The sequence below is a fragment of the Homo sapiens genome, chromosome 9 (assembly GCF_000001405.40).
Source record: "Homo sapiens chromosome 9, GRCh38.p14 Primary Assembly".
In the NCBI taxonomy this organism is placed as follows: domain Eukaryota; kingdom Metazoa; phylum Chordata; class Mammalia; order Primates; family Hominidae; genus Homo; species Homo sapiens.
Window position 1 is genome coordinate 15,525,461 of NC_000009.12, and position 22,812 is coordinate 15,548,272.

General features: G+C 41.6%; 3 pseudogenes, besides 2 other annotated features; 1 reads left to right on the forward strand and 2 right to left on the reverse strand.

Annotated features, from left to right (window-relative positions):
• On the reverse strand, nucleotides 322-621 carry RN7SL98P (RNA, 7SL, cytoplasmic 98, pseudogene; annotated as a pseudogene).
• On the reverse strand, nucleotides 1,512-2,426 carry FTH1P12 (ferritin heavy chain 1 pseudogene 12; annotated as a pseudogene).
• Nucleotides 7,118-7,658: an enhancer, noted in NCBI's record as "H3K27ac-H3K4me1 hESC enhancer chr9:15532576-15533116 (GRCh37/hg19 assembly coordinates)". NCBI's record gives its function as "activates a minimal SCP1, AML or CMV promoter by ChIP-STARR-seq in naive H9 embryonic stem cells {active_cell/tissue: H9 hESC(naive)}" and the evidence as "EXISTENCE:reporter gene assay evidence [ECO:0000049][PMID:30033119]".
• Nucleotides 7,659-8,198: an enhancer, noted in NCBI's record as "H3K27ac-H3K4me1 hESC enhancer chr9:15533117-15533656 (GRCh37/hg19 assembly coordinates)". NCBI's record gives its function as "activates a minimal SCP1, AML or CMV promoter by ChIP-STARR-seq in naive H9 embryonic stem cells {active_cell/tissue: H9 hESC(naive)}" and the evidence as "EXISTENCE:reporter gene assay evidence [ECO:0000049][PMID:30033119]".
• RNU6-246P (RNA, U6 small nuclear 246, pseudogene) lies at nucleotides 18,728-18,834 on the forward strand (annotated as a pseudogene).

A 22,812-nucleotide genomic window follows, 5' to 3' on the forward strand; every position in this document is an offset into this window, starting at 1 on the left:
TTTTCTTTGATGGATTATCCTTTTGTTTTCATGTCTGAGAACTCTTCATTAAGCCCTAGATCCCAAAGATTTTTCTTCTGTTTTCTCTTTAAAACTTTAGCGTTCTATGTCTAATATTTAACCCTGTGATCTACTTTGAGTTAATTTTTGTAAGGTTTAAGTGGAGGTTCATTTTTTTGTCTATGGATATCTGAATGCTCTAGCACCTTTGTTGAAAAGACTACTCTTGTTTTCTTGAATTGCTTTTTCACCTTTGTCAAAAACTTTAGAATAAGCTTGTTTGTATCTGTAAAAGTTTTGCTGGGATTTTTTTCTTTTTTAAGAGAGGAGGTCTCACTATGTTGCCCAGGCTGGAGTGCTTTGGGTACTCACAAGCAAGGGCCCACTACTGATTAGCATGGGAGTTTTGACCTGCTCCATTTCCAACTTTGTTCAATTCACCACTCTTTTGGCAACCTGGTGGTCCCCCACTCCTGGGAAGTCACCATATTGACCTTGGACTCAATGTGGACACCTGATCACTCAGCATAGTGCACTATAGCCTGGAAGTCCTGGGCTCAAGCAGTCCTCTTGCCTCAGCCTCCTGAATAGCTGGAACTACAAGTATACACCGCACCTAGCCTGCTGGAATTTTGATAGGTATTTAATTTATAAATATATTATAAATTTAATTATATATACATTTCTATATTACATATTATATAGAATATATAAACATAGAAATATATTATATATTTAATTATATATAATTATATATGATATAGAAAAACATATCATATATTTATATATAAATTTGAGGAAAATTTAGGTCTTTACTCGGTTGAGTTTTCTAACCCTTGAACACAGTGTATCTGTTAATTTAGTTCTTTCATTTCTTTGATTGGCATTTTGTGGTGTTCAGCCTACAAGTCCCACACATGTTTTGTTAGATTTACAACTAAGTATTTTATTTTTTGGAGTGATTGTTTTAATTTCAGTGTTCATTGCTAGATATAGAAATACGGTTGATTTCTTACAGTTTAGCTTGTGTCTGAGACCTTGTTGAACTGACCAATTAAATTTAGAAGGCTTTTTTTCTTTTTCTTTTCCTTTCTCTATTTTTTGTAGATCTGTTGGGATCTTCTACATAAACAGTCATATTATCTGTAAATAGGGACAACAAATACACTCTGTGTGATTTCAATATTTTTCAGTTTTCTGAGGGCTTTTCTGGCCCAGGATATGGTCTATCTTGTAGATGTTACTTGGGTGCTTTAAAAGATTGTATGTTCTGCTTTTTGTTGGATGGAATATTTGATAAATGTCAATTAGATCCTTCTAGGTGATGGTGTTGTTGAGTTCTTTTTTTTTCTTTTTGTATAAAGATAGGGTCTCACTATATTGACCAGGCTGGTCTCAAACTCCTGAGCTCAAGTGATCCTCCCACCTCGGCCTCCCAAAGTGCTGGGATTACAAGCACGAGCCACTGCACCTGGCCAGAATTCTTTTTTTTGGGCGGGGGGGGGGGGGGGGGGTACCAAATTTCTTTATTTGAAGGAATGGTACAAATCAAAGAACTTAAGTGGATGTTTTGATACAACTTATAGAAAAGGTAAAGGAAAACCCAACATGCATGCACTGCCTTGGTGACCAGGGAAGTCACCCCACGGCTATGGGGAAATTAGCCTGAGGCTTAGCTTTCATTATCACTGTCTCCCAGGGAGTGCTTGTCAAAGAGATATTCTGCCAAGCCAGATTCGGGTGCTCCCATCTTGCACAAGTTGGTCACGTGGTCACCCCATTCTTTGATGGCTTCACCTGCTCATTCAGGCAATGTGTCTCAATGAAGTCACACCAATGGGGGTCATTTTTGTCAGTGGCCGGTTTGTGCAGTTCCAGTGGTGACTGATACACATTTTTTTCCAAATGTAGTGCACACTCCATCGCATTCAGCCCACTCTCCCAGTCATCACAGTCTGGTTTCTTGATATCCTGAAGAAGGATTCGGCCACCTCGTTGGTTCTGCAGCTTCAACAGTTTCTCAGCATGTTCCCTCTCCTCATGAGATTGGTGAAGAAAGTATTTGGCAAAGTTCTTCAAAGCCACATCATCGAGGTCAAAGTAGTAAGACGTGGACAGGTAAAGGTAGGAGGTGTAGAGCTCCAGGTTGATCTGGCGGTTGATGGCGGCCTCTGAGTCCTGGTGGTAGTTCTGGCGCACCTGCGAGGTGGACGCGGTCGTCATGGCAGTGACTAAGGAGAGGCGGCGGCGGCGGCTGCTGCGCGGCGCTGGAGCTGCGGCGGGGGCCTTGGGGCAGTCCCAGGGCGCGGTGAAGAGGTGACGGAGGGCTGGCTATGGGCGGCTGGCCGGGGTAGGGGACGAGGGCTGGGTTCCATCCAAGCACTGTTGAAGCAGGAAACCCCAACGACTCTCGGCGAAGAACGTCTCTTTTTTTTTGAGATGGAGTCTCACTCTGTCACCCAGGCTGGAGGGCAGTCGGCACAGATCTTGGCTTACTGCAACCTCTGCCTCCCAGGTTCAAGCGATTCTCCTGCCTCAGCCTCCTAAGTAGTTGGGACTACAAGTGTGTGCCACCACGCCTGGCTAATTTTTTGTATTAATCCCAGCTACTCAGGAGGCTGAGGCAGGAGAATCGCTTGAACCCAGGAGGTGGAGGTTGCAGTGAGCCGAGAAAGTGCCATTGCACTCCAGCCTGGGCGACAGAGCAAGACTCTGTCTCAAAAAAAAAAAAAAAAAAAATCCCTGTAGCCCCAAACCTACACTACAAATAGGCTATGCTTGGTCATTCCTAAGGGCAATAAAAGCTTTCCTCTAGCGTTGAGAAGAGGGTCGGAAAGGTAAAACCAAAAAAAAAGTGAAAAGAAAAAGGAAGCATTTTTGTTGAAGGCATAGAGCAACTTGTCTGAGATCTATATACTCTGTCTTCTTGAACTCCACTCTGAAATCTTCTTGGTCTTTGGGACAGGGCAGCACATGTTCTCCTTTAAGAAACCCATATTATGTCTAATTCCTGTCTATTTGGAAACATTGTCTGTCCCATTTTATAAAATTCCTAGGTAAGGCCCTGGCCTTAGACAGGGAACTCCTTTACTATCTTCTGAACCATAGGATGTAGGATTAGTCTTAACTTTTCAGGCCTCTTAGAAAGCATAACATGAAGAGCCTTTGTGTAGAAGAAAGCAGTCAAAAATTCCCCTTCAGTTTTTAGGTTTTGAACTCAAATCAAGGCCCAGATTTCCTCCTTATTGAATTAAATTATTTAAAGATGTTTAGGGGCTGGGGAATGGAAATTTGTTGATGAAAATGAACCTTAGGTGATATCAGGGCCTATCCTGAGAGCAGGCATCAGTTGGTCAAGATAACATATCTGTGTCCAATATGCTAGTAGCAGTTAGTTTTTGCCCCATCAATTTAACACTAGGTACAAGGGAGCAACCTTGTTTTTGGTGATAATACCCCTATGGAGTTACCCCTATGTTGTCAGATGGTGAGGTAATATTTTGCAATGTTTCATAAGTGTCGTTTGGTGTCAAGAAATGATATTTGTGATAAAGAAATCACCAGGTAGGTCTAAAGCAAAAAACGGCTGGGTGCAGTGGCTCGTGCCTGTAATCCCAGCACTTTGGGAGGCCAAGGCAGGAGGACTTGCATGCCACTGCACTCCAGCCTGGGTGACAAAGTGAGACCTTGTCTCAAAAACAAAAACAAAAACAAAAAAAAAGCAAACACAAAAAGGCTAGGGGAGGCCGGGTGCAGTGGCTCATGCCTGTAATCCCAGCACTTCGGGAGGCCGAGGCGGGCAGATCACGAGGTCAGGAGATCAAGACCATCCTGGCTAATAGGGTGAAACCCCGACTCTACTAAAAAAAATACAAAAAATTAGCAGGGCGTGGTGGTGGGTGCCTGTAGTCCCAGTTACTCGGAAGGCTGAGGCAGGAGTATGGCATGAACCCAGGAGGCAGAGCTTTCAGTGAGCTGAGATCGTGCCACTGCACTCCAGCCTGGGCGACAGAGTGAGACTCTGTCTCAAAAATAAATAAATAAATAAATAAAAATAAGGCTTGTGCTTAAGCCCACTAATGTGCTTTTCTTGTAAGATCAGTAAAAGTGAAATTATCTTTGAATACACCTCATCTGTTTAAAAATCCTTTCCAGGACTGATTTCTTTTGGTTGCAAAAGCTGGCTCCTGCAAGAGTTTTCTACAATGAGTTTGTCAAACTGCAAAGTCTGTAGGCACAATTCTCCACAAGACTGCCTTTACTTCAGTTAACAGCCACAAGTTTGGGGGTTCCCAGGGCAACTCTCACTTCTGACCAGCTGGCTATAAATTCATGGGTTCCCACAACCACTCTCAGGTTTGATAATTCACTAAAAAGGTTCACTGAACTCACTGAAGTTGTGTGTGTATTATAATTTTATTACAGCAAAAAGATACAAATTAGAATCATCCAAAAGAAGAGATGTATCAGGTGACATCTGGGAGGGATCCAAATGCAGAGCTTCCATCGTCCTCAAGGATGTGTTATCTGCCCAGCATCAAAGTGTGAAAATAAGGCATGCTGCCAGCCGGGGAAACTCACCCAAGTTTCAGTTCCCAGAGTTTTTATTGAGGTTTCATTACGCAGGCATGATCGATTGAATCATTGTGTATGTGGTTGAACTGAATCTCCAGCCCCTCTTTCTCAAAGGTCAAGCTGATACCACATGGCTCAAAGCTCCAACCCTCTAATCACATGGTTGGTCTTTCTGGCAGGGCTAGCCCACATCTGAAGCACTTCACTAACAGAAATTATCAGGTGTGATTTGAGGGGCCCACAATGAATGACAAAGATACTCAGATCACTTGGACAACTCTAAGGTTTTAGCAATTAATCTCCCAGGGCCAGGAACAGTGGCTCACGTCCATAATCCCATCACTGTGGGAGGCTGAGGTGGGCGGATTGCTTGAGTCCAGGTGTTTGAGACCAGCTCAAGCAACATGGCAAAACCTCATCTCTACAAAAAATACAAAAATTAGCTGGGTGTGGTGGTGTGTGCCAGTAGTCCCAGCTACTTGGGAGGCTGAGGTAGGAGGATCACTTGAGCCCAGGAGGCAAAGGTTGTAGTGAGCTGAGATAGCACCATTGCACTCTAGCCTGGGCCCTGCCTCAAAAAAGTGAGACCCTGTCTCAAAAACAAAACAAAACAAAACAACAACAACAACAACAACAAAAAACAAGGAGGGCCAGGTGCAGTAGCTCATGCCTGTAATCCCAGCCCCAGCACTTTGGGAGGCCAAGGCAGGCAGATCACTTGAGGTCAGGAGTTCGAGACCAGCCTGGCCAATATGGTGAAACCCCATCTCTACTAAAAATACAAAAATTAGCCGGGCGTGGTGATGTGCGCCTGTAATCCCAGCTACTCAGGAGGCTGAGGCAGGAGAATCACTTGAACCCAGGAGGTGAAGGCTGCCATGAGCCGAGATCATGCCACTGCACTCCAGCCTGGGCGACAGAGTGAGACTCTGTCTCAAAAAAAAAAAAAAAAAAAGGAAATTATTTCCCAGGAGCTGGGGACAAAGACCTGCCAAATTGCCAAATTTTTTATTACATAGTCCCTGAATATTGTTTCCATAGAGGGGAACATGATGGGGGATTTTGTATTTCTGGATGTCTGACCTGTTGTGTTACTCTAAAAAAAAGTCACTTCGTGGTTGACTCCAATTACCAGGAAAGTATTTATTTATTTTTCTTTCTTTCCTTTTTTTTTTTTGTCAGAGCGGAAGAACTTGACTACTGATTTATTACACAGAACTAACATAAAAGGAAAATGAAGGCACCTACCTGTAAAGAGAATATAAACCCAATAGTTAGTTTGATTTTGTGTTTTAGCCAAATTATGAAAAATTATAGCCAAGCATTAGACTTTTACCAAGGAGTGATTAAGGAGACAAAACACATTATTAAGGATAAGGACCTTATAGGTATCAAAGTTAATAATCCAAAACTTCAAGGAAACTAGAAAGAAAGAAAATAGCTTGAACAATAACAAACAAAAGCCTGCTGATGCAAGCCTGACGATCTGACTCCAGTCATCTAGGTCTTATTTCATGAGTCTCTGATGGAAGCTGTCTACTTCATGCAGTCATCTTGATCTGAAAGTCTTGGGTGGAAACTGTCTCCTCATGATCTTGTGGTTTCTGGCCCATTGGGCTTTCTTGTAACTTAAGGATGAGTAAATTTCTTTACTTGAGAGAAATGGTTGTAAGCATCAACACCCTAGAGTTTTGTTGTAGTGTTAGATGTTTATAGCAACTTATATAGGTTCTTTTCATCAAGGCTCAAGGGCTATTTTTCTCTGAGGTCTCTTCCACAAGATGAAAAATATCAGAACATCATCAAAATAGAAGACAGTTGAATGATTTCTTGAGGGGTAACAGAAAATTAATATATAAGCATATAGTCAATGATGATCCTGGGAATAGGAGCATAAAGAAATTACATTACCATTTCCTGTTATAACCAAGATGAATGGAGGACACATTATAAATATGAAAGGCCATATTTCTTATCATGACCACAGCCATCATTCTTTTAAAATCATATTTATTTGAAAATACACCTGTACAGCTGAATAAGTAAATAATTTAGTTTATTGATTGATATTAGTTCCATAGAGCCAAATGGATTCCCAAACTCCAATGAGGGCTGCTAGGAAGAAAATAACAGAAGCTACAGCATCAACCAACAAATGTCTATTACACATTGTTTGGCTAAATCTCCTTCTCTTTTTTCCATAGCAAGTTTATGACTTTTATTTTTATTATTATTTTTTTTTGAGAGCAACCATAAAAAAAACACATAAAATAAAAAATTCAACAAGCAATTACAAATTCTCTTGAAACAAATAAAAATATAGAAATTCTCAGCAAAGAAATAGTGGGTATTTAGAAAGAACCAAATGGAAATGACAGAAGGAGACTCCAGGGCTTTTTAATTTGTGCCACAAGGTATATTACAGTGGTCCCTGATCGACAAAGACATTGGAACTTAATAACCTGATACAAAATCTTTTTGGAGACAATTATTGTACCAATCTTTGTACATGAAAAAACTATATTTCTAAGATATGTCAATCAGGGACCAGACAGGAAACAGAAACCACATCAGTTTTTTGAACAGGGAAAGTTTAATATAAAGAATTATTAACTAGCAGGAGGTGAGTGAATTCAAAAAGGAGTAAACAAGGACTCTAAAGAATCCAGAAGCAGCAAGTGCGGAAAAACAGCGCATCCCTCTAGGCTGAGGAAGAATGAACGATAAAGAGGAGAAAGGGCTCCTCTCAGCAACCACCACCCCAGGGCTGAGATTCAGACCTCTTCAAAGAAGACATGTTTATTTATTTATTTATTTTTTCAGACTGAGTCTCGCTCTTGTTGCCCAGGCTGGAGGGCGGTGGCGCGATCTCGGCTCACTACCGCCTCCGCCTCCCAGATTCAAGCGATTCTCCTGCCCCAGCCTCCTGAGTAGCTGGGATTGCGCCACCACGCCCGGCTCATTTTTGTATTTTTAGTAGAGACGGGGTTTCACAATGTTGGCTAGGCTTGTCTCGAACTCGTGACCTCAGATGATCCGCCCGCTTCGGCCTCCCAGAGTGCTGGGATTACAGGCGTGAGCCACCGCGCCCCGGCCAGAAAGACGTGTTTACTACAAACACAGCCACACAGCCTGGCAATGGTGAAGATACTTGCTAGAGGGGCCTATAAAAGTGATTCACCACTGCTGGTGGGGATAGGCAGGCTGGGCCAGTCTGCAGGAAGGGTCAGCTGTTGCCAGAGGATATAGGTAGCTGGACCTGGTCTAAGGTCGCCTTAAGAAGAGGGACTATACAGACTGAGGGCACAGCTAGAGCTACTTTGTTAGGCTCGTGTATTGAAGATTATAAGAGGGCTGGAGTCCAACCGAAAAGTGTCTTTCCGTAGCTGTGGCCATGCAGTGTCACTCTAGCGCCCTCTGTCGATGAACCATAACATTTTATCTGTTGGCAAAAAAACGATTGTAGGGTTCAGGACTGATCATGAATCAGGGCAAAATAGTGTAGATTTGCAATGGAGCGATGATATTAAATTGGTAACTAGCACATAAGCATTCACAATCATGAAACAATATTAATAATTTTTTTATTCCAAATTTTATTTTATTCCAAATTTTGTTTCCAAATTGATTCCAATTTTTTTTTTTTTTTTAGACGGACTCTTGCTCTGTCACCCAGGCTGGAGTGCAATGGCGTGATCTCGGCTCACTGCAACCTCCGCCTCCCGAGTTCACGCGATTCTCCTCTGCCTCAGCCTCCTGAGTAGCTGGGACTACAGGCTCGCCCCACCATGCCCAACTAATTTTTGTATTTTTAGTAGAGACAGGGTTTCACCATGTTGGCCAGGTTGGTGTCAAACTCCTGACCATAGGTGATCCTCTCGCCTCAACCTCCCAAAATGTTGGGATTTCAGGCGTGAGCCACCGGGCCTGGCCACACATAATTAAAATTTAGAGAATGTCACACATGCCTAATTATTTCTACTATTTTTCTTTTATAAATTGAGAAACTGACTTTTTGGCCGAACTGGTGGCTATTCCAGTAAATTCAAAGAAAGTTTTGATTTATAAGAGAACTTTACAGGCCAGGCATGGTGGCTAACTACATCTGTAGTCCCAGCACTTTGGGAGGCCGAGGAGGGTGGATCGCTTGAGCTCAGGAGTTCGAAACCAGCCTTGGCAACATAGTGAAACCCCATGTCTCCTAAAAAATACAAAAATTAGCAGACATGGTGGTGCACGCCTGTGGTCCCAGCTACTCGGGAGGCTGAGGCAGGATGATTGCTTGAGCCCAGGAGGCAGAGGTTGCAGTGAGCTGAGATCACACCACTGCACTCCAGCCTGGGTGACAGAGCAAGACCCTGTTTCAAAAGAAAAGAAAACAATAAAATCTTAAATAAAAAAAAAAGAAAAGAAAATTTTACAGTCTGATTATTCTGAATTAGAGAACTGAATTTGGAACACACATAATCAAGAAGAGTTGTCAGGGGACATAAGACATACGCATAAGCCATTTTATTCAAAGGCTATACATGGTTGTAACAAATAGGAAACACAACGATAAATAATAGCTATTACTAGTAATTTTTATTTTTATTTTATTTTATTTTTTTTTTTTTTGAGACAGAGTCTCACTCTGTCACCCAGGCTGGAGTGCAGTGGCATGATCTCGGCTCACTGAAACCTCCACCAACTGGGTTCAAGTGATTCTCCTGCCTCAGCCTCCTGAATAGCTGGGATTACAGGCGCATGGCACCATGCCCAGCTAATTTTTGTATTTTTTTAGTAGAGACGGGGTTTCACCACGTTGGTCAGGCTAGTCTCGAACCCCTGACTTCGTGATCTGCCCACCTCGGCCTCCCAAAGTGCTGGGGTTACAGGCATAAGCCACCGCTCCCGGCCCTTGATTACTAGTAATTTAACTTTAAAAAATTTCTTGCCAAAATGATTCCATCATATGTAAGAAGTCTAGAGAGTTAACAGAATATTTTGGGAATAAAAAAGAATTTCTGTTTATCTGAGCATGAATAACTAGGATGTTACGGGAAGAAAATGCAGATCTTAATTTTACTTTTTGTTTTCAATCCATATTAAAATTTACAGTAAAAGATATGTAAGCCTTCAAATTTGTCTTTTGTCTTTTAAATTTTTATTTATTTTATTTATTTATTTATTTATTTATTATGTTTTTATTTTTTTGAGACGGAGTCTCGCTCTGTCGCCCAGGCTGGAGTGCAGTGATGCAATCTCGGCTCACTGCAAGCTCCGCCTCCCAGGTTCACACCATTCTCCTGCCTCAGCCTCCCGAGTAGCTGGGACTACAGGCGCCTGCCACCATGCCTGGCTAATTTTTTGTATTTTTAGTAGAGACGGGGTTTCACCGTGTTAGCCAGGATGGTCTCGATCTCCTGACCTGGTGATCCGCCTGCTTTGGCCTCCCAAAGTGCTGGGATTACAGGCGTGAGCCACCGTGCCCAGCTAAAATTTTAAATAATTCTTTTGAATTTATTTTTATATAACTCTATAGATATGCATTGAGACGTACACAAATATGTAAATATGCCAGCAAGTGATTAAACTAAGGCTTTAAATTGTAGCTTTAAAACATATTTAACTTACAAAAAAATTTAACTTAAAAAAATTTAACTTTATCAGCATATTAAATAAAACAAAGTATATATTATGTTATTAAATAAACATCTTTATACACTGCAAAGATACCCTTAAAAAACAGTTAGGCATACCTTATTTATTGTTTTGAATGCATACTCCTATTTCTGTTTAACGGTTCTCATTATTACAAACTGCAACCAAAGTAATCTATTTTGGATTTTTCAGACACAAGATAAATTAAAAGGTAGAATACCCAGAACTATATTGGTAATGTTTTTTCCTTTGAACAAATATATATTACTTTAATACATTTTAAGGTGGCTGAATAATATATATGCATAAATAAAGACACATATATATATACATATATGTAATCGTTAAAAAAGATTTGCACATCTTGCTAATCTATAGCCAGTCCATACATTAAAATAAGGTGTAAGATTATTTATTTATTTAATTTTTTGAGAGGGGTCTCCCTCTGTCACCCAGGCTGGAGCGCAGTGGCGCAGTGGCGCAGTCTCGGCTCACTGCAACCTCCGCCTCCCCTACTCAAGTGATCCTCCCACATCAGCTTCTGGAGTAGCTGGGACCACAGGCGCACGCCACCACACCAGGTTAATTTGTTTTGAATTTTGGTAGAGACGAGGCTTTGCCACATTGCCCAGGCTGGTCTCGAAGCCCCGAGCTCAAGCAATCCACCTGCCTTGGCCTCCCAAAGAGCTGGGACTACAGGCTGAGTCACCGTGCCCGGCCTAGAAATAATTTAAAGTTATGCTTAGTGTTCAGTGTTTTGTTTTCTTTTTTATATAAAATGATTTGGCGCTTGAACTCATGAGACAGAAGTTGCAGTGAGCCAAGATCACGCCACTGCATTCCGGAGCGCCAGGGCAACAGAGTGAGACTTAGTCTCCAAAAAAATAAATAAATAAATAAAATAAAATAATTTGGGTAATTACAGTATATTTGTTAATTTATTTTAATATTAGTTTAATGTCTTAAAGTTGATTAAAAATCTGGAAATTAGAATTTAGGTCAGGCCATTGAGTCCTTATCATTTGTATTATCAGAATCCATGAGCTGGCTGGGTGCGGTGGCTCACGCCTGTAATCTCAGCCCTCTGGGAGGCCGAGATGGGCGGATCACGAAGTCAGAAGATCGAGACCATCCTGGCTAACACGGAGAAACCCCATCTCTACTAAAAATACAAAAAAATAGCCGGGCGTGGTGGCGGGCACCTGTAGTCCCAGCTACTCGGGAGGCTGAGGCAGGAGAATGGCGTGAACCCGGGAGGCAGAGCTTGCAGTGAGCCGAGATCGCGCCACTGCACTCCAGCCTGGGCGACAGAGCCAGACTCCGTCTCAAAAAAAAAAAAAAGCATCCAAGAGCCTGTGCTCAGTGACTCATGCCTGCAATTCGAGCACTTTGGGAAGCTGAGAATGGCTTGAGCTCAGGAGTTTGAGACCAGCCTGGGCAACAAATTGAGAACCCCCATCTCTACAAAAATAAAAACTAAAATTAATAGAAAATTAAAATATTTTAAAAATTCATTTAATTTTTCTTAATTCAAGAATTTTAATTCTTGATAAATCTATTATTTCATTCAGCTAAATACAATTTCATGTTTGTAATCTTAAACCATCTGTAAAAATGATAACTTACTGGGCTGATAGGATATTAATCCTACATTAGTAGAAATTTTAGAAGTTTAAATGAGAAACGAAACCCAAGTCTTGCATTAAACAAAATATTGGGTCAACTTTTTATTTTCTGAAAAAGTCAGGGAGAAGGCATAAAGTTGGTTTTAAGCTAAAATTTTATCACTATAAAATGTTCAAAGAATCATCTATCAGTAATATTACATAGACTTCTAAAATTATAAAAAAAAACCCTCAGTATTTACATATAAAACATTTTCAAAAAAGACTTTTGAACTCATCATGCCAGGAGCTCTAAGTATCTAGCTTTTTTTCTTGTCTAGGTATCAAGGCCATTACCTAAACCTACCTCAGTAGTTCTTTGCAGTGAGGAAATTAGGAAAAGGCCTTTAATAGGGTGATTTTTCAGGTGAATTTTGCTTGTAAGAAACTTGTTGGGATAGTTGGATTGTTGGGAAGAGGAAGATATCAAGGCAAGTTTTAAAGAGAAAGCTGTTAGTCTTGATAAATAAGTTGTTTAGCTGGTTCACAATCTTATCTTCAAGAAATATTTTCCAGAGCAAATAAGCTAGTTATTTTTGCTTGGTGTCAATATTATTTAACATAGGGAATGAAAGCATGTTTGTCCCCATGGATGTAGGATTATGTTGGTTTCAGTTATCACTTGTGTCCCCTCACTAAAATGCAAGCAATGTGAGAGCAGATATTTTTGGGTGTATTTTTCACTTTTCTATGCCTAGCACCTAAAACATCTAGGAAATAGTAGGTGTTGGGTAAATATTTGCTGAATGAATCTGAATTAATGGATGCATTAGAATAGCCAAGAACATTTTTAAAAAGTAAGGACAGACAATTTAGCAGTTAAAAGAGGTACTACAGTCAGGTGCAGTGGCTCATGCTTGAAATGTCAGCACTTTGGGAAGCCGAGGCAGGCAGACTGCTTGAGCTCAGAAGTTTGAGACCAGCCTTGGCAATATGGTGAAACCCTGTCTCTACTTGAAAAATGCAAAAATTAGCCGGGCTTGGGGGCCTGTGCCTGGAGTCCCAGATACTCAGGAGGCTGAGGTGGGAGGATAGCTTAGGCCAGGGAGGTCGAGGCTGTGGTAAGCTGAGATTGTGTTGCTGCACTACAGCCTGAATGACAGAGCAAGACCTTGTCTCAAAAAAAAAAAAAAGAAAAAAAAAGTACTACAAAGGTACAGTAGTTAAAACAGTGCGGTATTGGAACATAGATAGATCCATTGAACAGAATAAAAAATCCAGAAACACGTACACACACGTCTATTAAACTTTCATTCCACTTTAAAGGAAATGTCAACCTTCTCAAGTATATGTGTTTTTTGGGTTGGGGGTCTTTGTTTTGAGAGAGGGTCTGGCTTCATCACCCAGGCTGGAACGCAGTGGCATGATCATTGCTCACCACAACCTCCGGCTCCAGGGCTAAAGCTATCCTCCTGCCTCAGCCTCCCAAGTAGCTGGGACTACAGGCATACACCACCACACCCAGCTAACATTTGTATTTTTAGTAGAGATGGGGTTTTGCCATGTCAGTCATTCTGGTCTTGAACTCTTGGACTCAAGGTATCTGCCCCCCTTGGCCTCTCGGAGTGCTAGGATTTCATGGGTGAGCCACCGTGCCCAAACCAAGTATATGTTTTAAAAGGAGAGGAATTTTTCTCATAGTTGCTTCCAAGTTGACCACTGCTTCTCTGTCAGTGATCCCTCAATCCCTCTTTGGTTGCACTGGTTACAATCTAGAACTCATTAACTGTGATTTCGTCTTACATCAATGCTGACAACTCCACAAAAGCTTCTATAGACTAAAAGAAGGTAACATGAGGCCGGCTTAGCTTGCTTCATAGATTGGTCCTCACTTCCATCTACAGCTCCAATTATAAAGCTGTTAGTTGCTCTAAGAGGAGTTAACATGTGAAACTATAGACCAGATGTGACTTTTCGCAAAGTTGGAAGCAAAGGTTCCCAAGAAGTTATACACTGCCCAGGGCTCCATTATAGACTCACTTGGCTCTTAACTTTTCTCTTCATTCCTTAGGTCTACCCTCCTTTCTGTAATAGTGCTTCCTTTTTTGGAGAGGAAATCCCACCTTCTAACCACTGTTAGATGGTCTCACTGTAGGAGACATTCTCCTCTCCAGGAGTATGGTTCTTTAAATTTGAGTCATTTCTTCAAGAGCAATGGCTCAGAGCAGCAACAAGGAAGTCTAAGGTAAGCTTTAGGAGATGAAGTCCTGTCTTGCAGTCCCATGCGGGCCAATAGCAAATTTGGACCTCTTTCAGATCTTCTCACGAGAGATAACTGCACATATCTTTTTAATTTTGTTTGGAAGTCTATTGGGTAGGTAACTATTGGATTAGAAATATATACACTTAAATCACTTGAGGAGCCTGGCGCGATGGCTCACGCCTGTAATCCCAGCAGTTTGGGAGGCCGAGGCGGGCGGATCACAAGGTCAGGAGATCGAGACCATCCTGGCTAACACGGTGAAACCCCGTCTCTACTAAAAATACAAAAAAATTAGCCAAGCGTGGTGGCGGGCTCCTGTAGTCCCAGCTACTCGGGAGGCTGAGGCAGGTGAATGGCGTGAACCCGGGAGGTGGAGTTAGCAGTGAGCCGAGATTGCGCCGCTGCACTCCAGCCTGGATGATAGAGCGAGACTCTGTCTCAAAAAATAAAATTAAATAAATAAATAAATAAATAAATAAATAAATAACTTGAGGATAAATACTGGAGAATGCTAGTCTAAACTTGAAAGAGTAACACTTTCCTATTGCCCGTAATTTGCAAGAACACCACTACTTATATTGGAGTCATTACATTGCTATACATACTGATTTTAGTGTCTTTCTTCCACCATTGCCCTCACTCCTACTCCTTAATTTTTGCTTTTCAATTATACTCTGTTTAGACCCGCGAGGAGTAATAATAAATAGGCTCAATTCTTAACAATAGGCTTATGTAGGGGATGTTACCTTGCCTAGTGAATCTTGGCCAGAGCATTTCAATTATTCATTGTAAGGTTATAAGCTAACATCTTAGACTTGGTACAATTCTCCTCTCTAATTTGTGATGGCAGTGGTGGTGTAGTAGTGATTTCGTGCTTCCAGTTACATAAAAGTGTCATTTCTAGATATTACTAAACTTCATTAATAATCAGATAAATGTAAATTAAAAGGACAATAGAATAACGATATATCACTTTTTGCTTATCAGATCGGAAAGGTTTCGATACTGAGAAAATATCTAGTGGAGAAGGAAGTGGATACTTTCACCCAATGTTATTATTTGTTTAAGTTGATACAATCTTCCTGGAAGGTAACCTGGTAGTATGTTTAAATAATTAAAATATGTTGTCAAATAGTGACTCCTCAAAAGCTCATTATAAAAACTGTTGATTAAGCAAAGTTAAGTGTATTAGATTTATTTCATTAAGAAAGTATACCACCTTGACTGAGCCTTAGCAGTGTCTCAAAACAGAAAATTAGAGTCAATTATTTGTAGAGTTTTAGAGCTTGGGCTGAATACTTTCAGGGAATGTCAGAAATACGATGAGGATTGGGCACAGTTTATGATACAGTAGCTTGATATTGGTGGGCACAGTAAGGGAATTGTTGTAAAGCATTTCTTTTCTTCTTCTCTTTTTTTTTTTGGTACAGTATGTCACTCTGTCACCCACACTGTAGTTCAGTGGCTCTATCACGGTTCACTGCAGCCTCAACCTGGTTCAAGCCATCCTCCCAACTCACCCTCCTAAATAGCTGGGACTACAGGCATGTGCTAGCATGCGGGTTAATTTTTGTATTTTTTGTAGAGATGAGATCTCATTATCTTGCCCAGGCTAGTCTTTAACTTCTAGGCTCAAGTGATTCCCCCCCTACTCAGCTTCCCAAAGTGTTAGAATTACAGGCATGAGCCACCATGCCCAGCTCTTTACTGTCATTTTTTTTTTACTATCATTTTAAAGAGACAAATATGGCCGAGCATGGTGGTTCACGCCTGTAATCCCAGCACTTTGGGAGACCAAGGCAGGCAGATCACAAGGTCAAGAGATCAAGACCATCCTGGCCAACATGGTGAAACCCCATCTCTACTAAAAATACAAAAAACAAAACAAAACAAAACAAAAAAACAAAATTAGCTGGGTGTGGTGGCGTGCACCTGTAGTCCCAGCTACTCGGGAGGCTGAGGCAGAAGAATCACTTGAACCTGGGAGGCAGAAGTTGCAGTGAGCTGAGATTGCCCCACTGCACTGCAGCCTGGTGACAGAGCGAGACCCCATCTCAAAAAGAAAAAAAAATAAAAATAAAAATAAAAAAAGACAAATATGTGAAATATACGTAGACAGACAGTGTTTAATTTTTTAAATAAAAGGAATAAGTTAATAAACATCTAAATGGATAAATTATGGGCATTTATAAAATAGGTCATTATGCAGTCATAAAAGGGTATTTTTTTTCATATCAACATAGAAATGTCTATGCTTATTAAGTAAAGAAAAAGTATAGAATTACAATGCATATGTTAGCATTTGTTTGGCTTTAAGCGGTGATGTGCCAGAGCTGGTTCATATTTGCTTGAGAGAGCACAGGGCTCTTGAGAGCCAAATGTGCACATTTCTTCACAAGTGCAGTCAAGCTTCATGTTGGTTGTTTAAAATTGGCCATAGTGAGAGCATTTAAAGTATTTACATCAAGGAAGTCAGCAAAGACTACAAATCAGGGGAACTTTTTCCCTCCCCCAGAGCTAGTTTACTAGCATGCCACTGGCTTCAAGTAACAGAAAACATGACTAGCACAGGCTTAAACTCTAAGGCCATTTATTGCTTACTACAAGGAGATCAGGGGAGATCAGCGGTAGTAGGCAGTTCAGGAAAGGGTCAGCAACTAATTATGTCATCGAGGATCAAGGCTCTTTTTATTCTTATCTCAGTAAATGTGCCCTTATATTTCATTGTTCAGAACTGTTCACATAGCCAACCCTAGCTACAAGGGAGCCTGGGAGCGCCAGGAGCTGGCAGCAGGAAACGGGATAGCCAAGAGTCGAACATGCATCTTCTGGAGTCGTACCTATAACTGCTACAAACAAATCAGGGTTTATCAGCAAGGGTGGGGTAGGGAATAGATAAGCAACTAACAGTGTCTGCTACTAATGTGTATGTGTGTACATGTGAATAAATATAGCAATAAATAAATAAATGCTTATTATTTTAAAAATATAGCTGGGTGTGGTGGTTCATGCCTGTAGTCCCAGCTACTTGGGAGACTGAGGTGGGAGAATCACTTGAGGCCAGGAGTTTGAGGCCTGCTTGGGTATCATAGTGAGACCCCCTATCTGTAAAAAACAGAAGTATTTTTTGTTTTTGTTTTTGTTTTGAGACAGAGTCTTGCTCTTGTGACCCAGGCTGGAGTGTAATGGTGTGATCTTGGCTCACTGCAAATTCCGCCTCCCAGGTTAAGCCATTCTTGTGCCTCAGCCTCCCAAGAAGCTGGGATTACATGCGTGTGCTACCACACCCAGCTAACTTTTGCATTTTCAGTAGAGACAGGGTTTCTGCATATTGGCCAGGCTTGTCTGGAACTCCTGGCCTCAAGTGATCAACCCACCTTGGCCTCCCAAAGTACTGGGATTACAAGCATGAGCCACTGTGCCTGGCCAAAAATTAGGTATTTATTTATACATCAAAATATCTATAAAGAAATAAAACACATTCTTAAATGTTTTTAGATCTGGAGTAGAGAAGTTGGACTTTGAGGATATTTTACATATTTTTATGTATATGTATTTTTATTTATTTTTTTAAAAGACTTTAAGAGCAGTTTTAGGTTCACAGCAGAATTAAACAGAAAGCACTGAGATTTCTCATACACACCCTTCCCCCACACATGCGCAACTTCCCCTGTTTTCAGCATCTTCCACCAGAGAGCTACATTTGCTGCAATCCATGAATCATCATAATCATAATCACCCAAAGTCTGTAGTTTACATTAGGGCTCACTCTTGGTGTTGTATATTCATGGATTTAGAGAAATTTATAATCCACCATTACAGTAGCATACAGAGCAGCTTCACTGGCGTAAAAATTGTTCGTGCTCTGCCTATTCATCCCTTCCCCTACCAACATCTTGGCAACCTCTGATCTTCTTGCTTTCTTCCTAGTTTGATTTTCCAGAATGTCATACACAGGTATACCTTGGAGACTTTGCAGGTTGAGCTCCAGACCACCATAGTAAAGCAAACATTGCAATACAGTGAGTCACACAAATATTTTGCTTTCCCAGTGCATATAAAAGTTATGTTCACACTATTCTGTAGTCTATTAAGTATGCAATAGAGATCTGGCAGTGGCTCATGCCTATAATCCCGGAACTTTGGGAGGCTGAGGCAGGAGGATTACTTGAGCCCAGGAGTTTGAGATAAGCCTGGGTAACATGGTAAAACCCCATCTTTACAAAAAATACAAAAATAGACCTGGATGTAGTGGCACAAGCTTGCAGTACCAGCTACTAAGGAGGCTGAGCTGGGAGGATTGCTGAAGCTCAAGAGGTCGGAGCTGCAGTGAGCTGTGAGCATGCCATTGCACTTCAGACTGGGCAACAGAGCGAGACTCTGTCTCTACAAAAAAATGGGTGTGGTGGTGCACACGTGTAGTACCAGCTACTTGGGAGGCTGAGGTGGGAGGACTACTTGAGCCTGGGAGGACAAGGCTGCGGTGAGCGGTGATCATGCCACTGCATTCCAGCCTGCGCAGCAATGTGAGACCCTATGTCAAAAAATAAAATAAAATAAATAAATAATAAATTCTTGTCATTTCAACAATGTTCACGGCATCTTCACCAGGAGCAGATTCCATCTCAAGAAACCACTTTCTGTGCTTGTTTCAGCAGCACATATACTAAGACTGGAATGATGTAGAGAAGATTAGCATGGCCCCTGAGCAAGGATGACATGCAAATTTGTGAAGTGTTCCACATTTTTTGACAAATGGGATCTAATTAAAGAGCTTCTGCACAGCGAAAGAAACTATCATCAGGGCAAACAGGCAACCTACAGAATGGGAGAAAATTTTTCCAATCTACCCAAGTGACAAAGGTCTAATATCCAGAATCTACAAGGAACTTAGATTTACAAGAAAAAGAAACAAACAACCCCATCAAAAAGTGGGCAAAGAACATGAACAGACACTTCTTAAAAGAAGACATTTATGCAGCCAACAAACATGCAAAAAAGCTCAACCTCACTGATCATTAGAGAAATACAAATCAAAAGCACAATAAGATACCATCTCATGCCAGTCAGAATGGAGATTATTAAAAAGTCAAGAAACAACAGATGCTGGTGAGGCTGTGGAGAAAAAGGAATGTTTTTACGCTCTTGGTGGGAATGTAAATTAGTTCAACCACTGTGGAAGATAGTGTGGCGATTCCTCAAGGATCTAGAACCAGAAATACCATTTGACCCAGCAATCCCATTATTGGGTATATACCCAAAGGAATATAAATCATTCTGTTATAAAGATACATGCACAGGTATGTTTATTGCAGCACTATTCACAATAGCAAAGACATGCAATCAACCTTAATACCCATCAATGATACACTGAATAAAGAAAATGTGGCACATAGACACCATAGAATACTACGCAGCCATAAAAAGGAAGGAGATCATGTCCTCTGCAGGGACATGGATGAAGCTGGAAGCCATCATCCTCAGCAAACTAACACAGGACCAAAAAGCAGACACCGCATGTTCCCACTCATAAGTGGGAGCTGAGCAACAAGAACACATGGACACAGGGAGGGGAACAACACACACTGGGGCCTGTCGGGGGGCAGCGGGCAGGGGGCAGGGAGAGCATCAGGACAAATAGCTAATGTATGTGGGGCTTAATACCTAGGTGATGAGTTGATAGATGCAGCAAACCACCATGGCACACGTTTACCTATGTAACAAACTTGCACGTTCTGCACATGTATCCTGGAACATAAAGTAAAATAAAATTAAAAAGAAAAAAAAAAGAAGCCACCTTCTTTGCTTATTCATGAGAAGCAACTCCTCATTTGTTTAAGTTTTATGATGAGATTGCAACAATTCAGTCACATTTTCAGGCATCACTTCTAATTCTAGTCCTCTTGCTATTTCTACCACCTCTGCAGTGATTTCCTCAACTGAAGAATTAAACCCCTAAAAGTCATCTATGAGGGTTGGAATAAACTTTTTTCAAACTCCTGTTAATGTTGACATTTTAGCTGCATGCAGTGACTCATGCCTGTAATCTCAGCATTTTGGTACGCTGAGGTGGGAGGATCATTTGAGCCCAGGAGTTTGAGACCACCCTGGGCAATACATGAGAATTTGTCTCTAAAAAAACTTAAAAAACAATTAGCCAGGTGTGGTAGTGTGGTGTGTTCCTATAATCCTAGCAACTGGGAAGGCTGAGGAAGGAGGATTGCTTGACTGCAGGAGTTTCAGGCTGCAGTGAGCCATGATCACACCACCACTGCACTCCAGCCTGGACCACAAAGCAAGACCTTATATCACTCTCTCACTCTTTTTTTTTTTTTTTTTTTTTTTTTGAGACAGAGTCTTCCTCTGTTGCCCAGGCTGGAGTGCAATAGCATAATCTTGGCTCACTGCAACCTCCACTTCCCAGGATCAAGCCATTCTCTTGCCTCAGCCTCCCAAGTAGCTGGGACTACAGGCATGCATCACCACTGTGGGCTAATTTTTCTATTTTTAGTAGAGACAGGGTTTTACCATGTTGGCCAGGCTGATCTTGAACTTCTGACCTCAAGTGATCCACCTGCCCCTGCTTCAAGACCCTATCTCTTAAAAAAAAAAAAAAAAGTGACATTTTTTACCTCCTCCCATGAATCACACATGTTCTCACTGGCATCTAGAATGGTAAATTTTTTCCAGAAAGTTTTCAATTTACTTTGCCCAGATCCATCAGAAGAATCACTATCTATGGCAGCATAGTCTTATGAAATGTCTTTCTTTTCTTTTTTTTAAAATTAATTAATTAATTTATTTTTATTTTTTGAGATGGAGTTTCGCTCTGTAGCCCAGGCTGGAGTGCAGTGGTGCGATCTCGGCTCACTGCAAGCTCTGCCTCCTGGGTTCGTGTCATTCTCTTGTCTCAGCCTTCCGAGTAGCTGGGACTACGGGCACCCACCACTACGCCCAGCTAATTTTTTGTGTTTTTAGTAGAGGTGGGGTTTCACTGTGTTAGGATGGTCTCGATCTCCTGACCTCATGATCTGCCCTCCTCGGCCTCCTAAAGTGTTGGGATTACAGGCATGAGCCACCGTGCCCGGACTCTTTTTTTTTTTTTTTGAGATGGAGTCTCATTCTGTTTACCAGGCTGGAGTACAGTGGCACGATCTCAGCTCACTGCAACCTCCGTCTCCCAGGTTAAAGCGATTCTCCTGCCTCAGCCTCCTGAGTAGCTGGGATTATAGGCATGCACCACCATGCCCAGCTAATTTTTGTATTTTTGGTAGAGACGGGGTTTCACCATGTTGGCCAGGCTGGTCTCAAACTCCTGACCTCAAGTGATCCACCCACCTCGGCCTCCCAAAGTGTTGAGATTACAGGCATGAGCCACCGCTCTTGGCCAAAATAGATTTCTTAAATAATAATACTTGGAAGTCAAAATTCGGCTGGGCACAGTGGCTCATGCCTATAATTCTCCTTTGGGAGGCCAAGGCAGGTGGATCACCTGAGGTCAGGAGTTCGAGACCAGCCTGGCCAATATAGCAAAACCCCGTCTCTACTAAAAATACAAAAATTAGCTGGGCGTGGTGGTGTGTGCCCGTAATCTCAGCTACTTGGGAGGCTGAGGCAGGACAGTTGTTTGAACCCGGGGATGGAGTTTGCAGTGAGCCGAGATCGCGCCACTTCACTCCAGCCTGGGCAGAAGAGCGAGACTCTGTCTCAAAAAAAAAAAAAAAAGAAGGTCAAAAATCTTCACTGATCCATGGGCTGCAGAATGGATGTTGTGTTAGCAGGCATGAAAACAGTATCAATCTCCTGGTACATAGCCATCAGAGCTCTTGGTTGACCAAGTGCACTGTCAATGAACAGTAATATTTTGAAAGTAATCTTTTTTTCTGAGCAGTAAGTCTCTACAGTAGGCTTAAAATACTCTGTAAACATGCCATAAGAGATGTACTGTCATCCAGGCTTTGTTGTTTCATTAACAGAGCACAGGCAGACTAGATTAGTGTAATTTTTCTTTCTTTCTTTCTTTTTTTTTTTGAGACGGAGTTTCACTCCTGTTGCCCAGGCTGGAGTGCAATGGCGTGATCTCGGCTCACTGCCACCTCTGTCTCCTGGGTTCAAGCGATTCTCATGTCTCAGCCTCCTGAGTATCTGAGATTACAGGCGTGCACCACCACGCCCAGCTAATTTTGTATTTTTAGTAGAGATGGGGTTTCTCTATGTTGGTCAGGCCGGTCTCAAACTCCTGACCTCAGGTGATCCACCTGCCTTGGCCTCCCAAAGTGCTGGGATTACAGGCGTGAGCCACTGCGCCTGGCCAGATTAGCCCAATTTTTCAGGGTGCTAGGATTTTTGGAATGGTAAATAAGCACTGGTTTTAACTTAAATTACCAGCTGCATTGGTCCCTAACAAGAGTCAGCCTATTCTTGTAATCTCTGAAGCCAGGCATTCACTTCACTTCTGTAGGGATCATCTTCCGATAGAAGGCTGTTTTCTGTACATTGTAAATCTGTTGTTCAGAATAGTCATCATCAATGATCTTAGCTACATCTTCTGGATAACTTGTTGCAGCTGCTACATCAGCACTTGTTGGTTTACTTTGCACTTGAATGTTACAAAGAAGGCTTCTTTCTTTAAAACTTATGAACCAATTTCTGCTAGCTTCCAACTTTTCTTCTGCAGCTTCTTCACCTCTCTCAGCCTTCGCAGAATTTAAGAGAGTTTGGGTCTTA